Source organism: Homo sapiens, chromosome 14, assembly GCF_000001405.40.
Source record: "Homo sapiens chromosome 14, GRCh38.p14 Primary Assembly".
Lineage (NCBI taxonomy): Eukaryota > Metazoa > Chordata > Mammalia > Primates > Hominidae > Homo > Homo sapiens.
This window is the reverse complement of record NC_000014.9, coordinates 20,771,740-20,784,096: the sequence shown is the minus strand read 5'-3', so window position 1 is coordinate 20,784,096 and position 12,357 is coordinate 20,771,740. Positions and strand designations below refer to the sequence as shown.

At 41.2% G+C, this 12,357-nt stretch overlaps 1 protein-coding gene and 1 long non-coding RNA gene across 5 annotated transcripts in view, besides 3 other annotated features; one reads left to right on the top strand and one right to left on the bottom strand.

Moving 5' to 3' along the window:
- The window catches only part of LOC107984671 (uncharacterized), a 74,578-nt gene that overhangs the window by 16,433 nt on the left and 45,788 nt on the right, over window positions 1-12,357 (top strand). The window lies entirely within an intron of this gene.
- On the bottom strand, window positions 1,630-3,027 carry RNASE6 (ribonuclease A family member 6). Of its 2 annotated transcripts, XM_017021566.2 has the most exons (3): window positions 2,969-3,027; window positions 2,759-2,855; window positions 1,630-2,402 (listed from the first exon to the last, which is right to left on the bottom strand). In XM_017021566.2, the coding sequence occupies exon 3, from the start codon at window positions 2,395-2,397 to the stop codon at window positions 1,945-1,947; it is 453 nt and encodes a 150-aa protein (XP_016877055.1). In that variant the 5' UTR covers window positions 2,398-2,402; window positions 2,759-2,855; window positions 2,969-3,027; the 3' UTR covers window positions 1,630-1,944. The 2 variants fall into 2 exon arrangements, with proteins under 2 accessions (XP_016877055.1, NP_005606.1); NM_005615.5 differs by lacking the exon at window positions 2,969-3,027 and having other exon boundaries at window positions 2,759-2,829.
- Window positions 1,685-1,754: an enhancer, noted in NCBI's record as "active region_8095". NCBI's record gives its function as "activates an Ori minimal core promoter by ATAC-STARR-seq in GM12878 lymphoblastoid cells {active_cell/tissue: GM12878}" and the evidence as "EXISTENCE:reporter gene assay evidence [ECO:0000049][PMID:35858748]".
- Window positions 8,559-9,162: an enhancer, noted in NCBI's record as "NANOG hESC enhancer chr14:21243094-21243697 (GRCh37/hg19 assembly coordinates)". NCBI's record gives its function as "activates a minimal SCP1, AML or CMV promoter by ChIP-STARR-seq in naive H9 embryonic stem cells {active_cell/tissue: H9 hESC(naive)}" and the evidence as "EXISTENCE:reporter gene assay evidence [ECO:0000049][PMID:30033119]".
- Window positions 10,880-11,642: an enhancer, noted in NCBI's record as "OCT4-NANOG-H3K27ac hESC enhancer chr14:21240614-21241376 (GRCh37/hg19 assembly coordinates)". NCBI's record gives its function as "activates a minimal SCP1, AML or CMV promoter by ChIP-STARR-seq in naive and primed H9 embryonic stem cells {active_cell/tissue: H9 hESC(naive and primed)}" and the evidence as "EXISTENCE:reporter gene assay evidence [ECO:0000049][PMID:30033119]".

Below are 12,357 nucleotides of genomic sequence, written 5' to 3'. Positions count from 1 at the left end.
TGAAAGCTGCTTTGAGTTAGAGCACTCAAGTCCCACTGTAGGATTCCCTCTATAAGGTACCCACCTTCTTAGGTGCCATATTGCCCTGACCTGCTAATCTCTTCCCAATGGGAGGGCCCTTGATCAGTCATCACCCTGGAATCCAGGCTCCTGAAACCTCATATTCCATTCTTTGTTCCTAAGATATGACATAAATGTGTAGCGTAAAGGAAGGTGAGCTGAGTTAGCATATCTATTAAACTAATAGTCTGGCTTGGAAAGAATCATTTGCAGCACAGGTAATGAAGACACTACAATATGTAGCCTTTTCAAAAAAACTTCATTGTCTTTGGCTGCTACTTGAAGACTCATCACTGTACAAAGCACTTGGGATTTACACTGGCCCACTAGCCCAATGACTCTAGAGGTTGACAAGGAAACTGAAGTTCCTTCTGTGAAATGGCTTAGTTCAGGTTCTGTTCCAAAACCCCAATACTTCTGTGGTATTTCAGTATTTACATAGGACTAGAATGTTTTTAGTTTCCTAGTGCTTTTTTCTCTTTCTTTCTTTCCTTTTTTTTTTTTTTTTTTTGAGACGGGAGTTTCGCTCTGTCACCCAGGCTGGAGTGCAGTGGTGCAATCTCGGCTCACTACAGCCTCTGCCTCCCAGGTTCAAGCGATTCTCTTGCCTCAGGCTCCTGATTAGCTGGGATTACAGGCTCCTGCCATCATGTCTGGCTAATTTTTTGTATTTTTAGTAGAGATGGGGTTTCACCACATTGGCCAGGCTGGTCTCAAACTCTTGGCCTCAAGTCGTCTGCCTGCCTCGGCCTCCCAAAGTGCTGGGATTACTGGTGTGAGCCACTGCATTGGGTCTCCTGGTGCTTTTCTCTTTTTCTTTTTTTGTTTTTGAGATGGGAGTCTCACTCTGTTGCCCAGGCTGGAGTGCAGTGACACAATATTTGCTCACTGCAACTTCTACCTCCTGGGTTCAAGCGATTCTCCTGCCTCAGCCTCCCGAGTAGCTGGGATTACAGGCACTGCCACCACGCCCAGCTACTTTTTTTGTATCTTTAGTAGAGATAGCGTTTCACCATGTTGGCCAGGCTGGTCTTGAACTCCTGACCTCAGACGATCCACCTGCCTCAGCCTCCTAAAGTGCTGGGATTACAGGCGTGAGCCACCACGACAAGCCTAGTGCTTTTTTCTTGATCTATGCTTTCTATTTATCCATTTCAATAAATAATGGAGGATTGACCCTAAGGTTACTACAATGGATTATTATCCCTATTACTACTACTATCACCTTATATTTAAAACATTATCTGATTAAAAACGGAAACAAATAGAAAAGACATAGGATCCTTCAGTTGCCAGTGACAGAATCTATGTGTGAGTTATCATCAACTGTCTTTGAGGTATCAGTACTACCTCCAATTAAGCATAGACAATGGTTTCCAGGGGAATATATAAAGTCATGAGCAGAGTTTGAAGAAATGCTCCAAAGTCCCAAACGCTGTCCTTTCTTGTGGGCAAGGAAGTGGGGCCCCAGGGAGGCCTCAAAAGTTTTCTAGGGACTTAAAGTCAAAACAGTGTTCCTCTGAGTACCGGTCAACAATGCTTTGAAAGCGGATCTCAAACACACACTCATTAGAATGCAGCAGGAAGTGGTTTTATTGCTGTGAACACAGGGCAATAAAGCTTGGCAAAAGTTGCAGGGTTAGAAATCTGAATCTTTCTTTGCTGTCTTCCCTATTCCCTTCTCTCGAAAAGTACAGAACTACAAAGCAGAAAATAATCTTATTTCTTTTTGTCTCAACTCTGGTCTGGCATCCTAGGCACTCGAATTCTCCAAACACCTTTCTTCTTTCTTCTACGGGAACAAGAAAATCAACAAAAGAAAAGAAAACATGGATGCAATTGTAACAGAAGCTATGTCAAATGAAAGGAAATGCAGTGGATGCCTTAGAGAATACTATCTAAGTGTACAGGAACCAACTTGTAGGGGGGATCGCTCTTCTGAGGGGGGTCACAGGCAACAATGAAGAATTTGTACTGGGCAGCAGCACTATAGCGGCACTGGGGATACTTTCCTGAAGTGAGTCTGCAGTCAGTCATGTTGACAGGCTTTGAGCTCTGGTGGCAGTTGTGCCGACGATTTTTGCAGACAATGCTGAGCAAATCACAGACAGCAGCCACATTCTGGAAAGAGTCATGCAGAAAGGTATTTTGATGCTTACAGTGCTGGGTATAATTGTTGATGCCACTCATTGCCCTGTTGCATTGGAGAGGACTTGGCTGTATATGCTGAATTTCAAACCAGTGAGCCTTGGTGAGACGCTTAGGCCAAGCATGAAGTGGACACACTGGTCCCCATAGAACCAGCAGCAGTAAAAGAAGAGGAAAGCATAGCACCATCTTTTCTGTGTAGAAAGAGAGAAGATAGTTATAGTAGGAGAAGCAATAAGAGCAAAATTTTTAATCATAACTATTTAGATTTTTATTTTGCCTTTTAAGATTTTACAGCTCCCTTTAAAATCTTCTTTCTCACATAGTCTCACAATTCTATGAAGAACCTGAAGCCCAGGAAACAGAAATATGACCTCTCCTTTGATTGGCATATCCCATTTTCTTTCACAAGTACTCATGCATTTGATGGCTGTCATATCAGAAAGTTTCTTCCCTCTTCCCTCCTGAAATATTTACCCTCTATCTGACCACTACCTCCCAGCCGTCTTTACTGCTCTACTCGCTCCAGCCCTGAGGCTTTCTTTCTTACCTGGTCTCAGTGTTGGGGCTCCTGCTGAGAACAGAGGCTGTGATTAGTCCAAAGCTCAGAAGCTGTTGTCTGCCTTTCTTCTCTAACCCTTCGAGCCCTGTGTGTATAGGGAAGGGGAAGAAATATTCTGAGCTTTCAGAAGGAGAATCCTAGGGTTTGGCAGATTAACTTCTTGTGCAGAGTCTGGATTAAACTCTTAGACTTTCACACCTGTTCTTTAAAACAGTATCATTATCACATGTATACAGGAAGGCTAAACCAACTTAAAGAAACAACATGACTGAAAACTCACAGTTTTGAGGAACTGATCACTTCCTGATATGGAATGAGTGCTTCCTGCCTCATCTGAGGCTTCAGTGTTTTTTTTTGAAGCTTTATGATTCCTGTTTCTTAAGAGAAAATATGTCACATAAATATGATATAATGCCTGCCACATACTTGGTAATGTTGTAAGTTCCTACAACAGAAGTGAATACATTATTCATTTATGCATATACTTATTGGGCCAGGTACTAGGCTACACAAATTCAGGAGCTCATGAGTTTTTTTTTTTTTTTTTTTTGAGACGGAGTCTTGCTCTGTCGCCCAGGCTGGAGTGCAGTGGTGCGATCTTTGCTCACTGCAAGCTCCACCTCCTGGGTTCATGCCATTCTCCTGCCTCAGCCTCCCGAGTAGCTGGGACTACAGGTGCCTGCCATCACGCCCAGCTAATTTTTTTGTATTTTTAGTAGAGACGGGGTTTCACTGTGTTAGCCAGGATGGTCTCTATCTCCTGACCTCGTGATCTGCCAGGAGCTCATGATTTAATGAAAGAGATTAGAGACAGGCAGGTAAGTATATAGACAAGTAGATTATATTAATATAAATAGCACTTACAGTGTGATGGAGGACACTGCAGGAGGCTACGGGAAGATAGTAGAGGGGAAGGATTGTTGGAGGGCACAACACCTGAACTGAATTTTGAGGAATAATTAGAAGTTAGGTGAAGAGAGTGTTAAGCGCCTCCCAAAGACAGAATTGTGTATGAAAAGACCTGTAAGCCTGAAGAAGAAGGCCGAATTTAGGATATTTGCCTCTTGAATCTGTTCTTACCTTTTCACTGGTACTGCAACACCCTTATTCAGAAACTCATTGTCTTATGGAGGGCTCACATAAAAGCCTCCCACATGGACTCCTTGCCTTGTTTTTTTCTCCTTCCAATCCATTCTACATATTACTTCCAGATTAGTCTTTTTTTGAACAAGATATAATAGTACAACACTCTTGCCCCATGCTTTTATGGCTCCAAATGTCTGCAGAATAAACATAATGTCTGTTTATAGCAAGGTTGCAGGATACAAGGTTAATATACAAAAGTCAGTTGCTTTCTTATATACCAGCAATGAACAATTGCAATTTGATATTTAAAACACAATACCATTTATATTGCACCAAAGAAAGTGAAATACTTAGGTGTAAATCTAATACATTATGTAAAAATTGGTATGAGGAAAAATTTAAAACTCTAATGAAAGAAATTGAGGAAGCACAGATATTCCATGTACATGAGTAGGAATACTCAATATGTTAAGATGTCATTTCCTCTCAACTTGATCTATAGATTCAGCACAATCTCAATCAATATCCCAGCACATTATTTTGTGGATAGTGACAAACTGACTCTGAAGTTTATATAAAAGTAAAAGATTCAGGTTGGACACGGTGGCTCACGCCTGTAATCCCAGCACTTTGGGAGGCCGAGGCAGGCTGATCACGAGGTCAAGAGATCAAGACCATCCTGGCTAACACAGTGAAACCCCGTTTCTACTAAAAATACAAAAAATTAGCCAGGCCTGGTGGCGGGCGCCTATAGTACCAGCTACTTGGGAGGCTGAGGCACGAGAATCGCTTGAACCCGGGAGGTGGAGCTTGCAGTGAGCCGAGATCGCACCACTGCACTCCAGCCTGGGTGACAGAGCGAGACTCTGTCTCAAAAAAAAAAAAGATTCAGAATAGTCAACACAATGCAGAAAAAGAAGAACAAAGTCAGAAAACTGACGTGACCCAACTTCAAAACTTACTATAAAGCTACAGCAATTAAGACAGTGTGTTATTGGTGAAAAATAGACAAATAGGTCAATGGAACCAAGTAGAAAGCCCAGAGGTAGACCCACACAAATACAGTGAACTAATCTGTGACAAAGGATCAATTTTCAATTGAGAAAAGTTAGTCTTTTCAACAAATGGTAGTAGAACTGAATGTACACATGCAAAAAATAAATCTTTTCATAGGTTAGACTTCATACATTTTCATAGACCTGTACTTTATATCTTTCACAATTTTTTTTTGAGATGGAGTTTCGCTTTTGTTGCCCAGGCTGGAGTGCAATGGCATGATCTTAGCTCACCACAACCTCTGCCGCTCAGGTTCAAGTGATTCTCCTGCCTCAGCCTCCGGAGTAGTTGGGATTACAGGCATGCACCACTACACCCAGCTAATTTTGTATTTTTAGTAGAGACAGGGTTTCACCATGTTGGTGAGGCTGGCCTCGAACTCCTGACCTCAGGTGATCCGCCCACCTCGGCCTCCCAAAGTGCTGGGATTACAGGCGTGAGCCACCGCGCCTGGCACAAATGTTAATTCAAAATGGACCATAGACCTAATGCAAAATACAAAACTACAAAAATTCTAGAAAATAACATAGAAGAAAATCTAGGCAGCCTTGAGTTTGGCAATGATTTTTTAGATACAATACCAAAAGCACAATCCATGAAAGAAAAATATTGATAAGTGGAACTTCATTAAAATTGAAAACTTCTGCTCTGCAACAGATACTATTAAGAGAATAAAAAGATAAGCCAGAGACTGAGAGAAGATATTTGCAAAAGATATATCTGATAAAAGAACATTATCCAAAATATACAAAGAACTCAAAAAACCTCAACCATAAGAAAACCAACAACCTAGTTGAAAAATGGGCAAAACATCTGAATGGTATGGGGCAAAGACAATTTTTCCTCTCCCTCTGAAGGTTCAAAACTTCTGAAATGAACTGACAATAGACAGATTAACAGGAGAAAAAGGCATACAAATTTATTACTGTGCATAATCATGGGAACCATACAAATTATGAGACTCAAAGAAAGACTAAATAGTTGAAATTCATGTATTCTCTTCATAGGGGAGAGGAACATGGGGAAAATGTAGGCAATTTTGAGGAGTTTTAAATATTTTTTAGGGAACTGGCCCCAAATAGCAGACAATAGTTTGTAAATGAGTCTCTTTGGAAGCTGAATGGAAGGGTGACGAGTTATGGGAAGGTGAAGGGTGGAACTGCACTATGAACAAAGGTTGCCTTATTATACAGATAAAGTCTCTTAGGTACTCTTTTGGAGCTGCTCTTGGAAGAATAGATGAAAGGTCTATCTGAGTGTGGTGTGAAGAGACTTCTAGTCTCTTCTTTTTTTCAGGTGGCTAATATTTCCTGGTTATCTGATGAGATTTTTAGAAAGGGGGGTCTTAAGACAATTGCATTTCTTGGAAGAAGTTTTCCTTATCCAGACAAGGGAACTTCCAGAGAGAGCTCCTCTCTGCATTTGAGAGCTGGGGGAGGAATGAGAGAAGATTAGAACATCTTTGGTCCTGAGGCAGCTTCTAAGAAGTTTTGGTTTCTTTAATTCTTTAATTCTAGTTAAATTTAATTCTTTAATTTAATTTCTTTAATTCAAAAGTGCTCAGAATGCCATGCATCATAGTTTGTAGTATGATTCTCTGTACCCCAACACTTCACCAAACAAGATATACAGATGGCAGATGAGCAATGAAAAGATGTTCAGCATCACATTGTTTGGAGAAAAACTTTTCCTCTATCATTTTAGGTTTTAAAGGTGGTGGTAAAGGAGCTTGTGAATTAGAAAAAGATTAATAGGAGAAAATTCAAAGTTTATTTACACATGCACACAGGAGTATTACATAATGCGTAACTTGCTGAATAGCCAGAGGTAAAGTTATATATCAACTTTAAAAAAAGTGTTTTTGGCCAAGTGCAGTGGCTCATGCCTGTAATCCTAACATTCTGGGAGACTGAGGCAGGAGGATCACTTGAGGCATGGAGTTTGAAACCAACAGCATAGCAAGACCCCCATCTCTATTTTTTAAAAAAAGATTTGGCCGGGCATGGTGGCTCACACCTGTAATCCCAGCACTTTGGGAGGCCAATGTGGGCAGATCACCTGAGGTCAGGAGTTTGAGACCATCCTGGCCAACATGGTAAAACCCCGTCTCTACTAAAAATACAAAATTTAGTCAGGCATGGTGGTGGGCACCTGTAATCCCAGCTACTCGGGAGGCCGAGGCAGGAGAATCTCTTGAACCTGGCAGGCGGAGGTTGCAGTGAGACAAGGTTGCGCCACTGCACTCCAGCCTGGGCAACAAGAGTGAAAGTCTGTCTCAAAAATAAAATAAAATAAAAAATAAAAGATTTTTGTTGGGGCTTCAAAAGGAAAATATGGAAGGTTCTAGTAAGCTTTCTGATGCTAATAGAAATGGGTAGATTGATTTCTTCCTGGCTGGAAGTTTCCCTGTATGGGGGTTTATGGAAGCTAATTTACACATCCCAGTGCTAAGGGGCTGTCTCGTTTCAAACAGGAAAATACCTTTGAAGGGGATCAATGGCAGCTGAATTTTCAAGAGGCTCTGGTTAAGTTTAAATAGTGTTTCTTTCTGCAGCTTCTGTCTGTTCAGACATTTTCAGTTTAAAATAATTTTCATGCCACTATCATCATAACAGATTTGTTACTTGATGCACAACAAATGGATATATTAAGAAAACAGGGATTGAAAAAGAGAGAGTTTAATTTTCATAGGGCAGCCAAATGAGTAGATGGGAGGTAACCTACAATTTGGTTTTGGGTTTGGGGATAGGGTTTTTAAGGAGTCTGGACAAGGGCCAAAATGTGAGCATTTCTGATTCATCAAGAAGTGAGAGGTGAAGTCATGGGACAGGGACATGAAGAAACTCAGCATTCATGTGCCAAGCCAGTTCCTTGGTAGGGGTCTTTAGACTGGTTAGCATTAGCTGTTGCACTGGAATTCAGGATCAGAAAAACACCTTAAGCAATTCTTAAGCAAAAAGATTTCATGATTCTAGTATTGGAGATTCTACCTATAGGAACAATCGGGGAGTAGGTGGTCAGCATGCTACTTGGGAAATTAGAAGCTACAGGGAAGTGGGTTGAAGTGTACCAGCATGCTATGATTAATGTGCAATTCTGCCTAGAGCCTGGCTTGCAACACTCCATAACTCTGCAAGGGCAGTTTTGCCATATTGGTGGGCTGTGAATCCCTTCAATCTGTCATTAGAAAATTGCAAATTAAAACAATGGGATAATACTACACACCTACATGAATGACTAAAATGCAGTGAAAACTGACATCATCAAAGCCAGTAAGGATGCAGAGCAGCAAAAATGCTAATTGACAGGACTTTCAACCTGGAGGCATATTTTGGGGTGACATATTCTTGTTTCCTATGAGACTTCAGTTAGGCTAGCTTGGATCTCATAACCATCGCTTGGCTCAGTAGAGGGGACTGCAGACCTTAGTGGACAGCCTCACCAATACTACACACAAAAGAGGAAGGGTAGATACCTAAGGAGAGTCAATATGCAGCTATCCAAATAAGGGGTGGACCACCGGGAAAGCCAGAGAAACAACACAAAGCTATTACTAATTGCCCTTAAATCTACTTTCCTCCTATACTATTTTGAACAACCATCTGCTAACCCTTTAATAAAAGCAAGTTTTAAAGAGTTACTTAAATGAGGTATTTGTGAGAATCTACTATAGGAGACCAGAATATGCCACCCCAAAATATGCTTCTTTATTATGAATATTATTTTGAACTGCTTATTTTGAGAAGCAGTATACACAAGACAAACTCTGAAAATAGAGTGCACGTTGCTGTTTTGTAAGGGACATTTGCGTTTATAAGGGAAATCTTCATTTGTAAGGATGTCTCCCTTTCTTCACCAGAAAGAGAAAGGTGACTCTAAATCAAAAGAAACCCTTATCAGCGGAGAAGGTACTGACTTAAATCTGCATGAGAAAGCTTTCCCTTGTTTACTGTACTTTTCCTGGTCATCCCCCTGTAAGTTGCTCCCCGACATGCTTCTTCCTTTGCTTTAGCGGAAGGCATTTAAGCCCAAGTTCTAGCCACCTCTTTGAGTTGCTTTCTGAATTTCTCTCATGTATGCATGAGATGCACATGTTACTAAACTTCTATTTTTCTCTTGTTAATCTGACTTTTGTTTCGGTGGCCCCAGCCAAGAACCAAAGGGGTAGAAGGAAAATTTTTTCCTTCCCTACATACATTTTGAAGAGCGTTTGTCAACTGAGAAAAACAAACAGTATTGTTTCTTCTCATATGTATATTGATCCTACATGCAGAGCTACTGGTTTAATACTAGTCTCTTCTGAGTTTGGTTGGTAGAGATTGTCATCCCCAGGTGTCTGCTCCTCCCCAGGTGCACTCAAAAATTGCAAAGCTGAGGAACTGCCTTATACGCTGGCTACTAGAGTTATAGGAAAGTGTGCAGTCACTTAATAAATAATGTTGACACTTTGGTTTTTCTTTAATTGTTTCAAGGCCAGAGTCATTCCACATTGTAGGAGTCTGAAGAACACAAGGTACTTTATTGTTTAGCATTTTCCCTGGCCCATACTGCTCCAGGGAGAATTGTATGAAGTAAACATTTCTTACTTTGCATCTCACTCCTGCAATTAGCAAACAGAATTTCTCGACCTGCTTGTGAACCCTATTTTTTTTTTTTTTTTTTGAGGCTGGCTGGAGTCAGTGGCACAATCCACTTAACCTGCTTGTGAACCAATTTTTTTTTTTTTTTTTGAGGCTGGCTGGAGTGCAGTGGCGCAATCTTAGCTCAATGCAACCTCCACCTCTGGGTTCAAGCGATTCCCCTGCCTCAGCCTCCTGAATAGTTGGGACTACAAGGGCGTGCCACCATACCTGGCTAATGTTTTTCTTTGTATGTTAGTAGAGATGGAGTTTCACCATGTTGGCCAGGATGGTCTCAATCTCCTGACCTCATGATCCACCTGCTTCAGCCTACCAAAGTGCTGGAATTACAGGCATGAGCCACCGCACCTGGCCTTCCCAACACTTTTTTATCCCATTTATTTCCTCTTTCCTACAACAAAATTTAAGTCTTAAGCTCCATTCTTGAGCAGTATTGCAGTTTAAAGTCTTCCAACCACTGTCCTGTCTCTACCACGTAAAAATGGTTATTTTCAGATAAAATTATTTGTGCTAATATATTCTATTTGAGGTGTTGTCCTTAGGAAATGTAATGCTTTAGTCCATGTAATATACATTGATCTTCTTGGAAACATTTTTCTTGTTTTTTGAGATAGAGTCTCACTTTGTTGCCAGGGCTGGAGCGCAGTGGCGTGATCTCAGCTCACTGTAACCTCTGCCTCCTTGGTTCAAGTGATTCTCATGCCTCAGCCTCCCAAGTAGCTGGAATTACGAGCATGGGCCACCACTCCTGGTTAATTTTCTTATTTTTAGTAGAGACAGGGTATCACCATGTTGGCCAGGCTGGTCTCGAACTCCTGACCTCAAGTGATCTGCCTGCCTCAACCTCCCAAAGTGCTGGAATTACAGGCATGAGCCACCTCACCTGGCCCTTAGAAACATTCTTTTTTTTTTTTTTTTTTGAGACGGAGTCTCGCACTGTCACCCAGGCTGGAGTGCAATGGCGTGATCTCGACTCACTGCAACCTCTGCCTTCCGGGTTCAAGCGAGTCTCCTGCCTAAGCCTCCTGAGTAGCTGGGATTACAGGCATACGCCACCACACCCAGCTAATTTTTTGTATTTTTAGTAGAGATGGGTTTTACTATGTTAGCTAGGCTGGTCTCGAACTCCTGACCTCGTGATCTGCCCACCTTGGCCTCCCAAAGTGCTGGGATTACAGGCATGAGCCATTGCGCCTGGCAGAAACATTCTTAATGAATTGAGTCCAGTAGGGACATCTATAGGTCTGTGGTTGATAAAAGAGGAGTTCCTTTTTTTTTAATCCTAGGCAGGTATAGCTTCCGTACAAATGTCAACAAAAAGAGTCAAACTCCATAAAATATTTAAAAAGGTTTACTATGAGCCAAATATGAGTGACCATGGCCCCAAGGCACAGTCTCAGGAGGACCTGAGAACATGTGCCAAAGGTGATTGGTTTACAGTTTGGTTGTATAGTTTTTAGGGAGATATATCAGTCAATACATGTGATGTATACATTAGTTCAGTCCAGAAAGGCAGGACAACTTGAAGCAACGGCTTACAGGAATTAGTTGAATTCAAAGATGTTCTGATTGGCAATTGTTTGAAATAGTTGTTATTATTGAAAAGACCTAGACTCAATAGATAAAGGATGTCTGGGTTAAAATAAAGGGTTGTAGAGACAAGGTTCTTATTATGTAGATGAAGTCTCACAGGTGGCTACCCTTAGGGACAATAGATGGCAAACGTTCCCTATTCAGACCTTTAAAAGGTGCTAGACTCTTAGTTAATCCTTCAGGATTGGGAGGGCCTAGAAGGGGAAAGATCTGGTTATGTTAATAGAGATTCCTTACGGATGCAACTCTTCCCCACAGAAGATGGCTTTGCAGGGCCATTTTTCAAAATAAGGCAAAAAATATTTTGGGATAAAATATTTTGATTTATTTGTCATTTGATGTTATGGCAGAGTTGGGTTGGAAGGTAAGCCACATTAAATTACTTATTTTCACAGTGGTGACGTGCTTTAGTTCCACTCAGATTTTGGGGTATTGGCAGAACTGACTGGGTATAAGACATGAATTGTACAGAGTTAAATAAAACCCACCTAATAATATTTTATGGTTTTCAGAGTGTGATGCTCCAACCCCCTTAGACAGGAATTTGGGCAAGAGAGAAAAAAAGGTCAGAATTCAGTCCTCACAGATGACAGCCTGCTGTATTTTTTGTTTGTTTATTTGTTTTTGTTTTTTGAGATGCCCTGGTTCTGTCACCCAGGCTGGAGTGCAGCAGCACGATCTCAACTTACTGTAGCCTCCACCTCCTGGGTTCAAGTGATTCTCTTGCCTCAACCTCCCGAGTAGCTGAGATTACAGATATGTGCCACCACACTCGGCTCATTTTTTGTATTTTTAGTAGAGACAAGGTTTCACCATGTTGGTCAGGCTGGTCTCAAATTCCTGACCTCAAATGGTGAACTCTTGACCTCAAACTCCTAACCACCCACCTCGGCATCTCAAAGTGCTGGGATTACAAATGTGAGCCAACATGCCCAGCATGTATTTTTATTTTATAAATCCCCATCTCTAGAGTTAGGGAGATCAAATGATTGATGAGCACTTGTTATGTTTGTTTATCAAAGTCAAAATGAAAGTACTAAGCCAAATAATGAGTTGAGAAAAGAAGCAATTTTCACTGAGCACCTACTATGAGCAAGAAACCATGCTACATGTTTTACACCCAGTGAGTTCTGCCAGTGCCCCAAAATCTGAATGGAACTAAAGCATGTCACCACTGTGAAAATAAGCAATCTAACGACCCAGTTGTTGGAA